This window comes from Homo sapiens, chromosome 5 (assembly GCF_000001405.40).
Source record: "Homo sapiens chromosome 5, GRCh38.p14 Primary Assembly".
NCBI classification, from domain to species: Eukaryota; Metazoa; Chordata; class Mammalia; order Primates; family Hominidae; genus Homo; species Homo sapiens.
Genome location: NC_000005.10, coordinates 139,493,786 through 139,513,993, shown reverse-complemented (window position 1 = coordinate 139,513,993; position 20,208 = coordinate 139,493,786). Strand labels below are relative to the sequence as shown.

The window sequence follows — 20,208 nt, the reverse complement described above, 5'->3', positions numbered from 1 at the left end:
CAGACAAGGGAGGTAAGAGAGAGCAGAGGCCCTTCTGTCTGCACAACCCTGAGCAGATGAATTTCTGGCCTTCTCATGCAGTCTTGGTTCATTGCCCTGGTGGGTCTCCAGGCTAAAGAGAGAGTATCTATTCCTCCTTTTCCTCTTTCTAGTCTGTATTCATTCATTCATCCCTCAAAGGGGAGAGCCTTCTCTTTGCCAGGCCTGGGATACAGCCATGAACCAGATAGACAGCTGTCTCTCTCCTTGTCCAACTGGCCACCAGGTGTCACCAGTGCCAGTCACATGGCCTCTTGCAGGCCTGAGAAGTGATGGGCTGGGATGGGGAAGTATGGATGAGTGAACCTGGCCAGCTCTGCTCAGCCAGCCTAAATTCCAGTTGGGCACGGTGGCTCACACCTGTAATCCCAGCACTCTGGGAGGCCAAGGCAGGCAGATCACTTGAGTCCAGGAGTTTGAGACCAGCCTGGCCAACATGCTGAAACCCCGTCTCTATTAAAAATAGAAAAATTAGCCTGGCACGGTGGCACGTGCCTGTAGTCCCAGCTACTCGGGAGCCTGAGGCACAATAATTGCTTGAACCTGGTAGGTGGAGGTTGCAGTGAGCTGAGATCGGGCCACTGCACTCCAGTCTGGGCGACAGAGTGAGACTCTGTCTCAAAAAAACTGAAAAAAGCAAAAACAAACGAAAAAACCAAATTCCTCAAGTGGAAAAAAAATCTATCTCCTCAATCCTCCCTCGCCATAAAGATACATTCATGGCTTCCTCAACAGCCCAGCTGGCGTGGGACCTTGGGAATTCACAACCTCTGTCCAGTCTGGAATTCTTTCTGCAGACTGTTCCTCATAGAGAGCCCACTAGCCTTCTTGTAAACCCCTTTGGTGACCACAGCTCACTACTTCACAATGCAATCTATGTTATTAGAAGGTTCTTCCTGATTTAAAACAAAAATTTGACATTCACTTTGACTTGTCCTACTTCTGCCATCTGTGTTCATAAAGAGGAAGGCTCTTCTGCCAAACCTGGCCCTGCAGGCAGTTTAAGGGATTGTTCCGGTATCCTGAGTTTGTTCATTTATTTGTTTGTTCACTTATTTGTTTGTTCACTCATTCATGACTCTATACAGAGCATTTGCTGTGTGCCAGGCCTTGGGGCCATAGCAGAGAATAAATAAGGTTGAAGCCTGTCCTCCTGTGGTTTATAGTCTGTCCAAGAAGCCAACAACCAAACCAACAGTAATAATAACACATGGACATGGCCAAATAGGAAAGATGTGGGTGGACCTGGAACAGGAGGCAAGGCCCTCACCCACATGGGGACTGGGAAGACTTCCTGGGGCCATTTCCCTGTGGTTAGGCAGAAGGTGAGCAACTTCCATGAAGTTCAAAGTTTCAAGAAAAACGGAGGGTTTTGCTGATGCTCTGAGCTTAGTCTGCTCACTGGAAAATGCAGCATCATGGGAAGGGATGGCGTGTTTGGAGGATGGAAGAGGGATGGAAAGAGCCATCTAAGCAGTGAGAGAGAGTACGGAGTGTCTGGAGGCAGACAAGGCCCAGTCTTGCGGGAGCACACAAGGGAGGAAGAAGCTATTGTGTCCGGAATTGGTTCCTTCTGGTGGGTTCTTGGTCTCACTGACTTCAAGAATGAAGCTGCAGACCCTTGCAGTGAGTGTTACAGTTCTTAAAGATGGTGTGTCTGGAGTTTGTTCCTTCAGATGTTCAGATGTGTCTGGAGTTTCTTCCTTCTGGTGGGTTTGTGGTCTTGCTGACTTCAGGAGTGAAGCTGTGATCCATTGCAGTGAATGTTACAGCTCTTAAAGGTGGTTCATCTGGAGTTTTTCATTCCTCCAGATGGGTTCGTGGTCTCGCTGACTTCAGGAGTGAAGCCACAGACCTTCCCAGTGAGTGTTACAGCTGTTAAAGGTGGCACGTCCGGAGTTGGTTGTTCCTCCCAGTGGGTTTGTGGTCTCGCTGGCTTCAGGAGTGAAACCACAGACCTTTGCAGGGAGTGTTACAGCTCAGAAAGGTAGTGCGGGTCCAAAGAGTGAGCAGCAGCAAGATTTATTGCTAAGAGTGAAAGAAAAAAGCTTCCACGGTGTGGAAGGGGACCCAAGCAGGTTGCCACTGCTGGCTCGGGTGGCCAGCTTTTATTCCCTTATTTGGCCCCACCCACATCCTGCTGATTGGTCCATTTTACAGAGTGCTGATTGGTCCGTTTTTACAGACTGCTGATTGGTAAGTTTACAAACATTTGGCTAGACGGAGCGCTTATTGGTGCGTTTTTACAGAATGCTGATTGGTGCATTTACAAACCTTGGCCGGGTGTGGTGGCTCACGCCTGTAATCCCAGCACTTTGGGAGGCTGAGGTGGGCAGATCATGAGGTCAGGAGATCGAGACCATCGTGGCTAAAATGGTGAAACCCCGTCTCTACTAAAAATACAAAAAATTAGGTGGGCGTGGTGGCGGGTGCCTGTAGCCCCAGCTACTCAGGAGGCTGAAGCAGGAGAATGGCATGAACCCAGGAGGCGGAGCTTCCAGTGAGCTGAGATAGTGCCACTGCACTCCAGCCTGGGCAACCGAGCAAGACTCTGTCTCAAAAAAAAACAAAAAACAAACCTTTAACTAGACACAGAGTGCTCATTGGTGTGTTTACAATCCTTTAGCTAGACAGAAAAGTTCTCTAAGTCCCCACCCGACCCAGAAGCCCAGCTGGCTTCACCTCTCAATGCCCCCTCTAAACAGGACACCCCAACTGCTGTTGGGAATTGGGCAATGATCGCTGTGGCTACTTCCTGCTGGATGGGGGCGAAGAAGGGGCCTTGCAGTTGTAGTGTCCTCGGGAGGGGAACTCTTTAGGCCAGTGAAAGGGCCAGTGGGTAGGTCCAGGGGTCCTCAGTAGAAGTTGTTATTTGAGCTCATTTGGGGTTCCATTTGTAAGACCATCTGTAGCTTGATGGCTTCGATCCTAGAGGAAACAAATTTGACAAGGTTAAAAATACAGGGCCTGAAGGCGAGTAATAGCAAGATGGCTGCCATGGGACCTAGAAAGGGGAGAAGCCATGTTGCCCAACTCCAGAGGTTGGTATAAGAGTTTGAAAGGCGTTGTCTGATTTCAGAAGCCTTTTCCTGTAAACACCGGGTGGCATCTCGTACTATACCTGACTGGTTAGTGTAAAAACAACACTCTTCCCCTAAGAAGGTGCAGAGTCCTCCTTTCTTAGCAATGAGGAGGTCTAGGCCTCAGCAGTTCTGGAGACTCACTGCTGCCAAAGAGTCTATTTGGGATTGTAGAGTAAGGATAGTTTTCATTATCTCTTGCAAACTGTCTGAGAAATCCTTTGAGAGTGTGTGGTAGTAGGATAATGAAGTAGATAAACTGGCTATTCCAGTTCCTGTAGCGTAGCCATTCCTAACCCTATAAGTAGGGGTATTAGTTGTATGCCTCTGCGCTGATGGACTTGAGCTTTGAGGGGTACTGATAGGGTCTGATTTCCTGGGGCAATGTTAATGTTGGGGCTTAGAAAGACTAAGGTGCAGGTGCCTGTCCAGTTAGTGGGGAGGCAGATATAGGTCGGTGTTCCACATAAGAAGAATATACCTCGGCTGGGTAGACAAAACTGGTTGTGTATGTTAAAAAGGTGTGCGAGTTTGTTGTTTTCATTTTTTCATACTTCTAGAGTACTTGCCAAGGTAGCTCCGGTGAGTGGCTGGAAAGGGATGTTGGGAGCAAAGTGAGTGGCTCCCTGTGTTCTATTTTATTTTCATCCCAGCAGGAGCTACAGTATATAGTCCTATTGCAAAGAGTATGGTTAGTATGCTGCTTAATAACATGATGAAATAGTAAAAGGTTTCCATTAAAGGGGCAAGGAGAGGTGTTAAAGATTATGTAGGTTTTCACTTATCTTTTTTAAGGAGGAAGGGGTTTTTCTTCAGGATCAGTGGTAGGAGCCTTTTTAGTCTGGGATGATTCCTTCCAAAATAGGAGATGCAAGTCCTCCAATGGTTCACAGGTATCAAGGCTGGTCTGGGTGATCTTGGGACTCCTGAGCTGATGGTCCCGCAGGTTCCTCAGGGGATGTCCAAAATTTAACTCGGGTGTGGTGAATCCAAGATTCCACTCCTGCCACCTTAACTGCAGTGGGGGTAGAGAGGATTATTGAGTATGGTCCTTCCCACAAAGAGTCCATAGATGGGGAGGTAGAGAGGAGAGATTTGACCAACACTGGATCTCCAGGTTGAAACAACTCTGTTCCCTTTTCTCTGTGACATCCTTCAGGTAGGTTTTTAAGGTTTTGTTGATATTTTGCCAAAGAAGTTATATCTTTGACCAAGTTGGCCGTTTCCTGATCAAGTAGGAGGTCATTTGTGAGAAAAGGTCGTCCCTACAGCATTTCATATGGACTGAACCCCATTTTGTGAGGAGAATTTCGGATTCTCAACAAGGCCATGGGCAACAGAGTAGGCCATGGCAGATGAGTTTCTTGTGTTAGTTTCCTTAAGTGCCTCTTGAGTGTTTCATTTGCCTTCTAGACCTTCCCTGAGAATTGTGGCCTCCAGGTGCAGTGAAGGTGATATTGTATCCCTAGCGCCCTGGAATTCCCTGAGTTATCATGGCTTTAAAGGCCAGACCATTGTCACTTTGTAAGCTTTGGGGAAGCCCAAGTCTAGGAATTATTTCATGAATTAGGACTTTAATCACTTCCTGAGCCTTCTCTGTCTTGCAGGGGAAAGCTTCTATCCAATTTGTAAAGGTATCAACACAGACAAGCAAGTATCGAAATCCCTTTGACTTAGGCATATGGGTGAAGTCTAACTGCCAGTCCTCTCCAAGATAGTGACCTATTCTTTGTTCCCCCAAAGGGGCCTTATGATGGACAAAGGGATTATTCCTTTGGCACACCTCACAGGCTTTGACTACCTGTAGGATGGTCCGGAGGAGACTTGGCCCTATAAATAGGGATTCAGCCATTTGATGAGTGTTTTCAATACCCATATGAAAAATTTGGTGGAGGGTTTTAAGTATTTTCCACTGGCTAGCTTCAGGTATAAGTATCTTTCCTTCTTCTGTCGTTAACCACCCTGGGGGGAGAAAACTATGCCTCTGTGAAAGTCCCCATTCTGTTTCAGTCGGGGAATACTGGGGCTTAATCTCCTGGAGGGGGTTGTTCCATACCAAGGGTCCTTCCCTAGGTATTTCTAATGGGAGGTTCCACCTGGCAGCAATTTTTGCCTCAGCATCTGCCTGACAGTTTCCTTCTGCCTTTTCTCCTTCACCTTTCTGATGGTTTTGGCAGTGTAAGACTGCCACCTCCTAGTGTTTTTGCACTGCATGCAATAACTCCATAATTTCCTTGTGGTATTTACTGGGGGTTCCCCCAGAGGTTAGGAACTCCCTTTCTTTCCATATTGCAGCATGGGCATGTAGTATTAGATAAGCATACTTGCTATCTGTATACACATTTATTCTTTTTCCCTTTCCCCGTTCTAAGGCTCGGGTAAGTGCCACTAGTTCTGCTAACTGGGCACTGGTCCCTGGGGGAAGAGGCTTACTTTCAAGTACAGTTACATCACTAACTATGGCATAACCTGCCCTTCGTATCCCATTCTCCACAAATGAACTTCCATTGGTATATAGGTTAAGGTCAGGATTAGCTAAGGGGACTTCTAAGAGATCAGCTCGGGCGGCATAAGTCTGGACTATAATTTGTTGGCAGTCATGCTTGATTGGTTCCCCATCCTCTGGGAGAAAAGTGGCAGGGTTGAGGGCCACGCATGTATGTATTTGAAGCACCAGTCCCTCAAGGAGTAGTGCCTGGTATCTAAGTAGGCAGTTGTCTGATAACCATAAACTTCCTTTGGCACCTAGTATGCCATCTACATCATGAGTAGTCCAGACTGTGAGATCCTTTCCTTGTATTATTTTGATAGCCTCTGACACTAAGACAGCCACCACCGCAACTACCCTTAAACAGTGAGGCCAGCCTTTTGCTACTACATCAATTTCCTTATTTAAGTATGCCACTGGTTGTGGGTTGTCCCACAAGTCTGAGTAAGGACTCCAAGAGCTATCCCTGCTCTCTCTGTGATGTATAAAGAGAAGTTTTGTCCTGTGGGAAGGCTTAAACCTGGAGCTTGTACTAGGGCCTGCTTTAAGATTTTGAAGGCTGTTTCTGCCCCTGGTTCCCATTCTTCTAGATGAGTATTTGCCCTCTGGGTCTCCTTGATTAGAGTATAGAGGGGCCTGGCTATCTTGCTGTATCTGGGGATCCATAGTCGGCAAAAGCCAGTGATTCCAAGGAACCCCCGCAACTGTTTTAATGTCTTAGGCTGAGGATCAGCCAGTATAGGCTGTATTCATTCCTTGCTAAGGGCCCTGGTCCCTCTGGCTAAGATTAGGCCTAGATATTTATCCTGCTATAGGCAAGGCTGGGCCTTCGACCTAGATGCCTTGTACCGTTGATTAGCTAGAAAGTTCAAGAGGTCTAGAGTAGCCTGCTGGCATGAGGCTTCTGAACTGGTAGCCAAAAGTAAATCATCCACATACTGAAGGACCAGAGTGCCTGGACTTGAGAAGTGGCCTAGATCTTGGGCCAGTGCCTGACCAAACAAGTGAGGGCTATCCCTAAACCCTTGGGGCAAGACAGTCCATGTAAGTTGGGATGTGTGGTCTGTGGGATCCTCAAAGGCAAAGAGAAGCAGGGAGTCAGAGTGCAGGGGAATATAGAAGAAGGCATCCTTGAGGTCCAGAACAGTGAACAATTCTGCTTCCTCTGGTATTTGAGAGAGCAGGGTATAGGGGTTGGGTACAACTGGATATAGAAGAATTATTGCCTCATTGATGAGTCTAAGATCTCGCGCTAGTCTCCACTGACTGTTCAGTTTTTGTACTCCTAGAATTGGGGTGTTGCAGGGACTGCTGCATTTCCTTACTAAGCCTTGAGCTTTTAAATGTTTAACAATATCCTGTAATCCTTTATGAGCTTCAGGCCTTAAGGGATATTGCCTTTGATAAGGAAAAGTGGTGGGGACTTTTAGCCTGATTTGGACTGGGCAGGCATTTTTTGCCCTTCCAAATTGTCCTTCCAATACCCACATTTCAGGGTTGATTCCTTCCTCAAGTAGGGGACAACAAATGGGTAACTTGTTCCCCATATTCATGTAGATAATAGCTCTAGCTTTGGCTAATATTTCCCTCCCTAATAAGGGTGAGTGTGGGAATTTCAGGCATAACAAGAAAGGGATGTGAAAAGAACAAAGTCTCCCAGTTGCAAGCAAGGAGGTGGGAGAAATACCTGATTACAGGTTGTCCCAGGATTCCTTGGATGGTAATGGACCTTGAGGACAGTCATCTGGGACAGGAGATTAAACTGAGAAGACCATGCCAGTGTCCAAGAGGAAGTCAATTTCCTGGCCCTCAATGATTAAACATACCCAGGGCTCAGTGAGGGTAATGACATGAGCTGGTGCTTGCCCTGGGCACCCTCAGTCCTGTTGTTGGATCATCTAGTTGGGGGCTTCTGGCCCAGAGAACCATTGCACTCTAGGGCCTTTTGCCTTCCAGTGATTGCCAGTGGACATGGATGAGGGGGTGGCTTGTTTCTCACTGGACAATCTTTTTTAAGTGCCCTTGTAAACCATACTGATAACAAGCCCTACTGGGTGATTGGCCTGCTCCATTTTCTGTCCTTTCTGAACCAACAAGGTTTGTTTGTCTGAGGGCCATGACTAAGGCTGTGGCCTTTCTCTGATCTTGCTTTTCCTTTTGGGCCTATTCCTCTTGGTCCCTATTATAGAACGCTGAGGTTACTAAGTTTAATAATGCCTCCAGATTTTGTTCAGGGCCCAGGGCTCACTGTTGGAGCTTTCTCCTGATATCTGTGGCTGATTGGGTAATAAACTTATCTTTTAGAATCAATTGACCCTCTAGTGAGTTGGGTGACAGGGGAGTATATTTTCTTAAGGCCTCCCGTAGCCACTCAAGGAAGGCAGACAGATTTTCTTCCTTTCCTTGAGTTATGGTGGACATCACTGAATAATTCATGGGCTTTTTCCTAATTCTCCTTAGTCCTTCTAGAACACAGGTCAACAGATGTTTACAACTCCAGTCCCCATGATCTGAGTCAAGGTCCTAGTGGGGATCATACTGGGGACGGCTTGCTGACTGGTAGGGAATTTGTCCATTTCTTTAGCTGTCATTCTATCATTTACTTGTCTAAGATACCAGGTACCTCCAAACTCAGCTAAAGCTGCATTCTTTTCATTAAAGGCCAGGGTTTCCTCTAACAATAGCATGACATCTCTCCAAGTGAGATCGAAGGTTTGCCCTAGACCCTATAGGACATCTATGTACTTATCAGGATCATCTGAAAACTTCCCCAGGTCTGCCTTGATCTGCTTTAAATCAGAGAGGGAGAAGTGGACATGTACCCGGGTTGGGCCAAATTCCCCTCCCCCTACAGCTTGAAGAGGACATAACCGATAGCCTGGGGGTTTTTGTGGTCCTTTGGAGATTTCTTTGCTTATTTCCTTCTGGGCAGGGGAGATTAGAGGAGGCTTATCATTAATAGGAAGGGGAGCTATAGGGAGGCTAGGATTTGAGGGTATGCTGAAAGGTCCTCCTGTGGGATGTAAATTGCAAGCTTTGCATAGTTGTCTATTCTCCTTCAATGAAAAGAAAGCTTGGACATAAGGTATTTCAATCCATTTGCCTTCTCTCTTACAGAAAAGGTCAAGCTGCAGGATAGTATTGTAATTTATACTTCCCTCAGGGGGCCATTTTTCCCCATCAGAGAGAATACTGGGGCCACGCCATAGTGCAGACAAAAATGAGCTGCCTCTTTTTCAGGGTTTGCAGGTCAAATTGGTCCTAATGACTGAGGATGCATTTCAAGGGTGAGCCTGTTGATGCCTGAGTGTTTCCCATCTGAAAGACAAAACTGCCCATGGTTTTGGTTTGTTTGTTTCTCCCCCTGCCCAAGAATCTGCAGTGGTCCCTGGACACTGCTGATCGGAATAGTTGCACTCACTGACACAGCAGCAGAAACACCTCTTGCCCAAGAACCCGCAATGGTCCTTGGACCCTGCTGATCAGAATAGTTGCACTCACCAATGCAGTAGCAGAAACACTAGTTTTCCTCCTAGACCACAAGGAGGACTGAGGAAGGTCGGATTTAGTGGCCCTTACCAATGCATTCTTGAAAACCTGCACCGTTGCCTGTCCTCCTAGACCACAAAGAGGACCAAGAAAAATCGGATTTAGTGGCCCTTACTGACGCATTCTCGATAACCTGTTAGAATCCTAAGCATTCTCCTGTTAGTATTGGGACTTTACCCCTGTTCTATAAAGATGCTATGCCCCAAAAATGAAGTGGAGGGCCATACTCTGAGGGAGGGAAGGGATCTCCAGAGTTGGAAGTGTGATGCCTTTTGTCCTCACTTATATGAATAGGAAGGATAAAGGCTCCCCATATCCTAGCTTCTAAGGATATCCTAGCTTTCTAAGGCTCCCCATATCCTAGCTTCAGAAATAGCTTTTGTTAGTCCTGTTTGTCTGAGGAGGGATCCTAGAATTCCAGATATTCCCCCCTACAATGGGGCTTTGGGCAAAAATTATGTCTTTCTGATTGGTGAGACTGGGTGCCTACAGAAGGGACTCTCATGAGTCCTGAAGTTTATACTAGAAATCATTCTTATGGGAGAAACTAGAAAAGCACCAGAGATAGGGAGTGGTTTTTAGAAGCAGGACTAGCCTCAGAGAAGAGAGGCGAGAGGAAGTTTGTCTGACAGGCATTAGGACCCAGGAGGCAAGGGTCAGGATAGATAGGATAGACGGGCGAGTCTCGCTTGGGCGACATGACTTTCAGAGTTCCACTCATGGCCGCAGGGTCAACCAACTTGTCGGGACCTGGGAGCTGAATGGCTTTCCTCTGTGTTGACCCTTGGCTCAGTCCAGAAGTACAGGAAAAGCGGAAGCTGGTTCCAGGCAAACCAACGCTCCCAACTCTGAAGAGTCGGGTGTTGTCAGAGAGCCCTTTCCCAGAAAGCCTGATACTCTTGTCTTTAGTCCGGCGGCCACGCTAGTCGCTTTTAACTGGCTGACAGGTGCCCGGTATTTAGCCCCCAAATTCTAAGGAAAAATAGGACAGAATAGCAAGCGAAAGGGGTCTGATGGTACTCACCACTTGGCGATAGGCGATAGTCCCATCTGGGTAGACAAAATGTGTCTGGAATTGGTTCCTTCTGGTGGGTTCTTGGTCTCACTGACTTCAAGAATGAAGCCGCAGACCCTCACGGTGAGTGTTACAGTTCTTAAAGATGGTGTGTCCAGAGTTTGTTCCTTCAGATGTTCAGATATGTCCGGAGTTTCTTCCTTCTGGTGGGTTCATGATCTTGCTGACTTCAGGAGTGAAGACACGGACCCTCGCAGTGAGTGTTACAGCTCTTAAAGGTAGCACGTCCGGAGTTGTTCATTCCTCTCAATGGGTTCGTGGTCTTGCTGACTTCAGGAGTGAAGCTGCAGACCTTCCCAGTGAGTGTTACAGCTCTTAAAGCTGGCATATCTGGAGTTGTTTGTTCCTCCCAGTGGGTTTGTGGTCTCGCTGGCTTTAGGAGGGAAGCTGCAGACCTTCACAGTGAGTGTTACAGCTCAGAAAGGTAGTGCAGACCCAAAGAGTGAGCAGCAGCAAGATTTATTGCTAAGAGCAAAAGAACAAAGCTTCCATGATGTGGAAGGGGACCCGAGCAGGTTACCACTGCTGGCTCAGGTGGCCAGCTTTTATTCCCTTATTTGGCCCCGCCCACATCCTGCTGATTGGTCCATTTTACAGAGTGCTGATTGGTCCGTTTTTACAGAATGCTGATTGTTGCATTTACAAACCTTTAGCTAGACAGAGCGCTGATTGGTGCATTTTTACAGAGTGCTGATTGGTGCATTTACAAACTTTTAGCTAGACACAGAGTGCTGATTGGTGTGTTTACAATCCTTTAGCTAGACAGAAAAGTTCTCCAAGTCCCCACCCAACCCAGAAGCCCAGCCGGGTTCACCTCTCACTATGAGGGAATCAGCCCAAGATGAAGGAAGAAGCCCCTTTGGGCCCCTGAATGCCATCTCAATGACAGTGTTCAAGGCCCAGATCTAGCCTGATGTGGGTCACCTCTCTTGCAGGCACTGCATTTCCACTAACATGGCCCAAGGAAACATCAGCCTTTGGTTTCTATTTTTTGAGACAGAGTCTCTCTCTATTGCCCAGGCTGGAGTGCAGTGGTGCAATTTCAGCTCACTGAAACCTCTGCCTCCCAGGTTCAAGCGATTCTCCTGTCTCAGCCTCCCAAGTAGCTGGGATTACAGGTGTGCGCCACCATGCCTGGCTAATTTTTGTATTTTTAGTAGAGATGGGGTTTCACCATGTTGGTCAGGCTGGTCTTGAACTCCTGACCTCAAGAGACTCACCTGCTTCAGCCTTCCAAAGTGCTGGGATTACAGACGTGAGCCACCACATCCAGCCAGCATCAGCTTTTTTTTTTTTTTTTTTTCAGACGGAAGTTTGCTCTTGTTGCCAAGGCTAGAGTGTAATGGCACAATCTCAGCTCACTGCAATCTCAGCCTCCCAGGTTCAGGCAATTCTCCTGCCTCAGCCTCCCGAGTAGATAGGACTACAGGCATGTGCCACCATGCCAGGCTAATTTTGTATTTTTAGTAGAGACAGGGTTTCTCCATGTTGGTCAGGCTGGTCTTGAAGTCCTGACCTCAGGTCATCCACCTGCCTCAGCCTCCCAAAGTGCTGGGATTACAGGCGTGAGCCACTGTGTCTGGCCCAGCATCAGCTTTTTGATCATGACTCGAAGTACACCTGTGGCCCTTCAAAGCTCTCAAGGATTCTTCACTCAAACTGCTGAGAGACCAAGATACCCCCATCTTGGGATCACACAGCTGTGTTAATGAACCTAAGACTGAATTTATTTCCATTTTTCTCTTATTCCCTTTTTTCTCTGTTTTGATTATACAAGCAATACACGTTCATTTTAATAAAAAATTTAAAATATAATGTTTATTATCTTATAGTTTCTGAGATTCAGGAATTTGGGAGTGGCTTACCTGGGTAGTTCTGTCTCAGGGTTTCTTATGAAAGTGCAATCAGGATGTCATCCAGGGATGCAATCATCTGGAGGCTTGACTAGGGCTGGGGGTTCACTGCCAAGGTGGCTGGTTCATGGACCTGGCAAGATATTGCCGATTGTTGATAGGAGGCCTTGTAGCTCCACCACTTGGACCTCTTCATGGGGCTGCTTGAGTGTCTTTATGGCAGGGCAGACGACTTTCACCAAAGCAAGTGATCCAAGAAAGAGATCAAAGAAGAAGCCACAGTGCTGTTTAGGACATACTTAGTTCTATATTTGGGAGTGGAATTAGGCTTCCCCTTTTGAAGGGAGAAGTATCAGATAACTTGTGGATTTTTTTTTTTTTTTGGTAGAGACAAAAATCTCACCATGTTGCCCAGGCTGGTCTCGAACTCATGGGCTCAAATAATCCTGCCTCGGCTTTCCAAAGTGCTGGCATTACAGGGATGAGCCACCTCACCAAGCCTGTAGACTTTTTTTTTTTTTTTTTTTTTTTTTGAGACAGAGTCTCGCTCTGTTACGCAGGCTGGAATGTAGTGGGACGATTCCAGGTTCAAGTGACTCTCCTGTCTCAGCCTCCCGAGTAGCTGGGAGGACTACAGGTGACTGCCACCATGCCCGGGTAATTTTTTTTTTTTTTTTTGAGATGGAATTTTGTTCTTGTTGCCAGGCTGGAGTGCAATGGTGTGATCTTGGCTCACCACAACCTCTGCCTCCTGGGTTCAAGCAATTCTCCTGCCTCAGCCTCCAGAGTAGATGGGATTACAGGTACATGCCACCACCCCTGGCTAATTTTTGTATTTTTAGTAGAGATGGGGTTTCTCCATGTTGGTCAGGCTTGTCTCAAACTCCCGACCTCAGGTGATCCACCTGCCTCTGCCTCCCAAAGTTCTTGGATTACAGGCATGACCTACCATGCCCAGGTGTAATTTTTGTATTGTTAGTAGTTACAGGCTTTCACTGTATTGGTCAGGCTGGTCTTAAACTCCTGACCTCAGGTGATCCATTTGCCTCAGCCTCCCAAAGTGCTGGGATTACAGGTGTGAGCCACCATGCCCGGCCTAGACACACCTGTAATCCCAGCTACTTGGGAGGCTGAGGCAGGATAAGCACTTGAACCCAGGAGGCAGAGGTTGCAGTGAGCTGAGATCCTGTCACTGCACTCCAGCCTGAGCGACAGGCTCTGTCTCAAAATAAATAAATAAATAAATAAATAAATAAATAAAACTAAAAATAAAAATTTAAAGGTACAAAAGTGCAAAAGCATATGCAGTTAAAAGTGAGTCTTGGCCAGGTACAGTGGTTCACGCCTGTAATTCCAGTACTTTGGGAGGCCGAGGTGGGCAGATCACTTGAGGCCAGGAGTTCCAGATTAGCCTGGGTAACATGGTAAAACCTCTTCTCTACAAAAGATACAAAATTTAGCTGAGTGTAGTGGTGCACATCTGTGGTCCTAGCTACTCGGGATGCTGAGGTGGAAGAAGCATCTGAGCCCAGGAATTCAAATTCGAGGTGATAGAGTGACCCTGTCTCAAAAAAAAAAAAAAAGACCGGCCATGGTGGCCCACTTCTGTAATCCCAGCACTTCAGGAGGCCGAGGTAGGCAGATCACACGAGGTCAGGAGTTCAAGACCAGCCTGAGCAACATGGTGAAACCCCATCTCTACCAAAAGCACAAAAATTAGCCTTGCATGGTGGCACACATCTGTAATCCCAGCTATTCAGGAGGCTGAGGCAGGAGAATTGCTTGAACCCAGGAGACAGAGGTTGCAGTGATCTGACACAGTGCCCCTGCACTCCAGCCTGGGCAACAGAGATTCTGTCAAAAAAAAAAAAAAAAAAAAAGACATATAGATTAGTGGAAAAGAATTCAGAATCCAGAAATAAACTCTCACATTTACAGTCAGTTGATTTTTTTTCTTTTTTTTAAGCGGGAGTCTCACTCTGTTGCCCAGGCTGGAGTGCAGTGATGTGATCTTGCCTCACTGCTAACTCCGCCTCCCAGGTTCAAGTGATTCTCCTGGCTCAGCCTCCCGAGTAGCTGGGAATACAGACGTGTGCCACCACATCAGGCTAATTTTTGTATTTTTAGTAGAGATGGGGTTTCACCATGTTGGTCAGGCTGGTCTCAAACTCCTGACCTCAAGTGATCTGCCACCTTGGCCTCTCAAAGTGCTGGGGTTACAGGCATAAGCCAACATGCCTGGCCCTGTCACAGTTGATTTTTATTTTCAACAAGGGTGCCAAAATAATTTAATGTGAAAAAGAATAGTCTTTCCGACAAATGGTGCTGGGACAACTGAATATGTACATGGAAAAGAATAAATGTGAATTCCTATCTCACACCATATAAAAAAGAACTCGAAATGGATCAAATACCTAAATATAAGAGCTAGAACTATTTACACTCTTAGAAAAAGACATGGGCATAAATCTTTGTGACTTGCTCAGGCAAGATTTTCTTAGATATGGTACCAAAAGGACAAATAACAAAAGAAAAAGTAGGCTGGGGGCAGTGGCTCACTCCTGTAATCCCAGCATTTTGGGAGGCAGAGGCAGGCGGATCACCTGAGGTTGGGAGTTCGAGACCAGCCTGATTAACATGGAGAAACCCCATCTCTACTAAAAATACAAAATTAGCCAGGCGTGGTGGTGCATGCCTGTAATCCCAGCTACTTGGGAGGCTGAGGCAGAAGAATCACTTGAACCCAGGGGGCAGAGTTTGCGGTGAGCCAAGATCCCGCCACTGCACTCCAGCCTGGGCAACAAGAGATAAACGCTAACTCAAAAAACAAAACAAAACAAAACAAAAGGTAGATGAATTGGATTTCACCAAAATTAAAAACTTTTGTGTTTCACAGGACACCATGAAAACAGCAAAAAGATAACCCAAAGTAGTGAGACCCCGTCTCTACAAAAAATAAAAAATTAGCTAGGCATGGTGGTGCGTGCCTGTGGCCCAAGTTACTCAGCAGGCTGAGATGGGAGGATCACTTGAGCTCAGGAGTTTGAGGCTGCAGTAAGCCGTGATCATGCCACTGCAACTCCAGCTGGGGTGACAGCAAGATTCTGTCTCAAAAAAATAAATAAAGATTGCCGGGAGCAGTGGCTCACACCTGTAATCCCAGCACTTTGAGAGGCTGAGGCAGGTGGATCACTTGAGGCCAGGTGTTTGAGACGAGCCTGGCCAACAGGGTGAAAGCCCATCTCTACTAAAAATACAAAAATTAACCAGGCATGGTGGTTCATGTCTGTAGTCCTAGCTACTCGGGAGGCTGAGGCAGGAGAATCACTCAGAAAATCTCAGGAGGCAGATGCTGCAGTGAGCCAAGATCATGCACTGCAATCCAGCCTGGGTGACAGAGCAAGACTCTGTCTCAAAAAAAAAAAAAAAAAAAAAAAAAGAAGAAGAAGAAGAAGAAAAAATTTAAAACTAATATATCTGATAAGTAACGTATCTAGAATACAGAACTCTTATAATAAAATAATAAATTATTACAATAATAAAAAGATAACCCAATTAAAAAATGAGCAGGGTGTAGTAGTAAGCACCTATGATTCCAGCTACTTGGGAGGCTGGGGTGGAAGGATCCTTGAATCCAGGAGTTTGAGGCTGTAGTGCACTATGATTACATCTGTGAATACCCACTTTGCTCCGGCCTGGGCAACATGGTAAGACCCCCTCTCTAAAAGAAATTTTTTCTTTTCTTTTTTCTTTTTATTTTTTTTTAAGACGGAGTCTCGCTCTGTCACTGCCCTGCTGGAGTACAATGGCATGATTTCGGCTCACTGCCACCTCCGCCTCCTGGGTTCAAGTGATTCTCCTGCCTCAGCCTCCTGAGTAGCTGGGATTACAGACATGCACCACCACGCCTGGCTAATTTTTTGTATCTTTTTTTAATGGCTGTTATGCTTTTAATGGTGGCATGTACAAAATTCATCAATGCAAAAGATGTTTTACATACTCATAGACATAGTGATTAATGTAAATTATATCTTGACAATGTAAAGTACAGTGTGTTTGGCCTCAGAAAAGAAAGTAGAGAGTTAGCTGCAACTTAACATAACTGGAAAGGCTCTTTACGTTGTTTTTGCTCACCACCTTTATTATGATACTTCTAAATGATATCTGGGGAGGGAATTAAAAAATAAGACAAAGCTCTTTTCAGCTGTGGTTCAAAGAACTCTAGTGAAGCTGTATGGCAATGACATTGTGGGACCATGAAGTTTCCGTAGAAGTATTTTCAATAACAGGCAGTTAAGAAGCTTAATAGTTTCAAAGTCTGGAAAGCAGTAAAGATATCTTAGAGAATTTAAAAACATAAACTCCACTTCTCTCCTACAGAGACATTTTAAAGCATGGACATAACTTTAAGGAGATTGAGAAAACATCAGTAGTTTTCATAAAGCTTCAATGAACACCCCAAGGCACAAGTGTTGAAAACGGCCTGTTCACTAGAACATCACTTTTGGAGATACAGGTATGCTGTGCTTGCAGTGAGAGGACGACTTTATCCCTAGTTTAAAGCACCGGGTGTCAAGCTCAGCTTCCATTTACACAGGATGCACCAATAATCCCTATGATAGTGAATCGTTCAAGTACTATTTCCAATAGGTCTTTTGCCTATTTGCTTAGTCAGTATTGGGGTTCTTTTAAACTCTGTGGGTCTGAATTTTTTTTTTTTTTTTTTGAGACAGAGTCTCACTCTGTCACCCAGGCTGGAGTGCAGTGGCGCAATCTTGGCTCACTGCAACCTCCGCCCCCAGGGTTCAAGCGATTCTCCTGCCTCAGCCTCCGGAGTGGCTGGGATTACAGGCACCTGCCACTGCACCCAGCTAATTTTTGTATTTTTAGTAGAGATGGGGTTTCGCCATCTTGGCCAGGCTGGTCTTGAACTTTTGACCTCGTGATCCACCTGCCTCGGCCTCCCAAAGTGCTGGAATTACAGGGGTGAGCCACCACACCTGGCTGGGCTGTAGAATATTTTAAAAGGTTAGAACTACCTCAAAAATAGTGTTGAAATAATACCGAGCCCTTTTAAAAGAGCTCACTGCATTTTTAAATAACATTTATGGAAAGAAAGAAAGACAAAATTTGTAGTAGCTGAGTTCCTTTCAAGTGAAAAGTAATAATGTAGAACTAACATGTAGGCTAAAATGTTTGGTAATTAATGTCAAAAATTGCCAAGATTATTAATATATATTTTGGTAACCACCATTGGGCAGGTTAATTTTTTGTGCAAAATACACTATATATTAATAGAACAGGAAAATCATTATTTCAGACCACTAACAGAAGAAAACCCACAGCAAGAGAAGCATCTATAGGGCAATTAAATGTTAGGGAATTTACTATCTTTAGAATACATCAATACACTTTGATTAGAGAAATATTTCATTTTTAAAACTAGAGTGTTTTAATGTACTTTTAGTAACAACCCAATCTAAGGAGACTTGGAGGCTTGTGAAAAAGACATATCCACAAAGATGCTGCATTTCTAGTGTGTGGGTGAATTAATACTTCTGTAAGGAGGAAGGAACTGAATCACCTCAGCATCAATAAACAGCATTTTTCTTTTAAACAATAACTCATAATCTGATGACTCATTTTGCTTTACTAGTTCAAAATTAGGCAGGAGAAGAACTAAGCTAACTGGTCAGACCCAGAAACACAATGATTTGGCAAGCCGCGGTCACTTAGCTCATGATGTGTGATAATAGGCAGAAAGGCTGCTCAACTCTTGTCCAATCCTTCACATCTGTAGAGGAGTTTGATATAACCACTTATCTTTATCAACTTTAAGCTACATACAGGCAAAGAGATCACAAACTGCAGGGAGGTGGTAATGGTCTCGGGGGAAGTTATGTTTCTCCTGTAGAGGTTAATTAAGTAATACTTCCTGGGTCTTCTTCCAAAGCAGCCACTTGTCTTCTCCAGAGGATAACTGGCTGAGATTGCCCATCTTCTCTCCTGGCAGGACCCAGTCAGCTGTGTTAAAGGGACACCAGGAAGTGCTCATATGGGCCTTTTAAGCTTTTGTTTGCCAGTTCTGTCTTCAGTGCTAGGCCCTTCCTTGGGACTTCCTTCTTTGTATAGGGGCCTGATAAGCCACTCCAACAAGGGGCTGTTCTTTATGACTTGGAAGGAATCAGCAATTCTAGAAGGAACCACTGCCTTTGGTGCTTAGTTTGTTCTATTAATTCTTTTCTAGAAGGACAGAGCCACATATTCAGGGAATCTTTATGCTTCTCAGGCTCAGGTTTGGGTTCCACGGGCATCCCATTTTTATCCTTTCCTTCTTTCTTCAGAAGCCACTTATACAGAGCCTCCTTCTCACAGCTCTCATCACACACACACTCTGCAGAGCTTGTACAGGGCTCATTGGCTCTGCACACCTCTTCTGCCTTACATGGGTCCTGATGGTTCTGGACAAGCCAATCCTCTGTAACCATGCTGAGGGTGAACAATGGTTTCTTGGCCTCCAAGTGGTCATTCAGACACTTCAGATTGCCCAGGTTTTCAATCCCCACAGTTTGGGGCTGGTTTCCCTGACAGTTGGTACAGGAGTAAGTCTTGACAAGCCAATCATTCACATTATAGGACTGGAATAAGAGCTTAAACTTCTCACTGGTTTCACAACTGCCATTCTCAGGCTTCCTCAGCTTATGGGATTCCTGGGGAGTCACCAGCCAATCTGATAGGTCCATCTCATCTTGATCAGGAAGCTTTAGATCTTCAAACTTTTCCATTTCAATGGAGAAATGACTAGTAGTGGAATGGCTGTTACAGTTTTGATAACTTGGTTTTTCAGGAATTTCCTGTTGCTGACTCTTGAGGAGCCAGTTTTCTAAGCCCTTTAGGTTTCCCCAGACATTACTGAAGAAATTGCAGGCTCTGAAAGAAGTCTGGCTATTCTCCAAGGTCTGCTTTTGGGTGAGCCAGTCCTGGGGGTTGGTGCTGGGTATGTAAGGAGCCTGATGACCACTGGCAGGTTGGCTCCCAAGCAGCCATTCACTGAGAGGGACAGCTACAATACTGGATGCTGACTTCTGCTCTGGCATTGGGTTATAGCTTCTCTTGTCCAGGAAGGGCCCAATATTTGATGAACTAGCATGAGCCATGAAGTGCTCAGGAGTCTGAATGATTTTGAGAGACCCAAATGTGGTGATGGTCTGGCGCAGAGCACTTGTGTCAGCTTCAAAGAGCGAGATAGTTGAATCTTTAGGCTTAAGGGTCAAACTGCCCAGTCTCTTCAGGCACGCAGACTTGATTGGCTAGATCTTTGTTTTGGGTACAGTCCAGTTGATGAGTAAGAAAATTGAACTGGCCCAATAACCACTAGAGCTACTGAGCCTGCTGTTGAAGTGTCTCCTCTTTAAGCTGATAGATGAGGTCTACCTGTTCATATAGCCACACCTCACAACTTCTAAGACATTCCAGGTGACAGCTTATGCAACTGTGAATCTGAGCTTTGACCTCTCTCAAGTTATCTTTAATTTGCTGTTCAGCCCGGAGAACTCCACCAATAGCAAGCTCCAAGTCCCTCCATGCATCACTACACCTCAAAAGGGGTTCTATTTATTTATTTATTTATTTATTTTTGAGACAGAGTCTCGCTCTGTTGCCCAGGCTGGAGTGCAGTGGCGCGATCCTGACTCACTGCAAGCTCCGCCTCCTGGGTTCAGGCCATTCTCCAGCCTCAGCCTCCTGAGTAGCTGAGACTACAGGCGCCTGCAACCACGCCCAGCTAATTTTTCGTATTTTTAGTAGAGACGGGGTTTCACCGTGTTAGCCAGGAGGGTCTCGATCTCCTGACCTCGTGATCCGCCCACCCCGGGCTCCCAAAGTGTTGGGATTACAGGTGTGAGCCACCGTGCCTGGCCTCAAAAGGGGTTCTCTATTACTGGAGCTGCCACTCTGGTCTTAGAAGGTATTCATTCTGCTCACTGCTCCAGGTCCGAGTGCCTCTCTGAGCGATCCGAGGGGACCTTGGGTGGGCTGAGACACGGGCCACACAAACCTAGGGCCCAAAGCAATTTTTTGTATTTTTAATAGGGATGGGGTTTGGCCACATTGGCCAGGCTAGTC

At 45.9% G+C, this 20,208-nt stretch overlaps 1 long non-coding RNA gene and 1 pseudogene across 1 annotated transcript; both read right to left on the bottom strand.

The window, feature by feature from the left end:
- Positions 1 to 1,059: 1,059 nt before the first annotated feature.
- On the bottom strand, positions 1,060 to 10,752 carry LOC124901083 (uncharacterized). Its single transcript, XR_007058961.1, has 2 exons — positions 10,181 to 10,752; positions 1,060 to 4,134 (listed from the first exon to the last, which is right to left on the bottom strand). It is a non-coding gene; the product is annotated as an uncharacterized LOC124901083 (long non-coding RNA).
- Positions 16,020 to 20,153, bottom strand: NCOA4P4 (nuclear receptor coactivator 4 pseudogene 4; annotated as a pseudogene).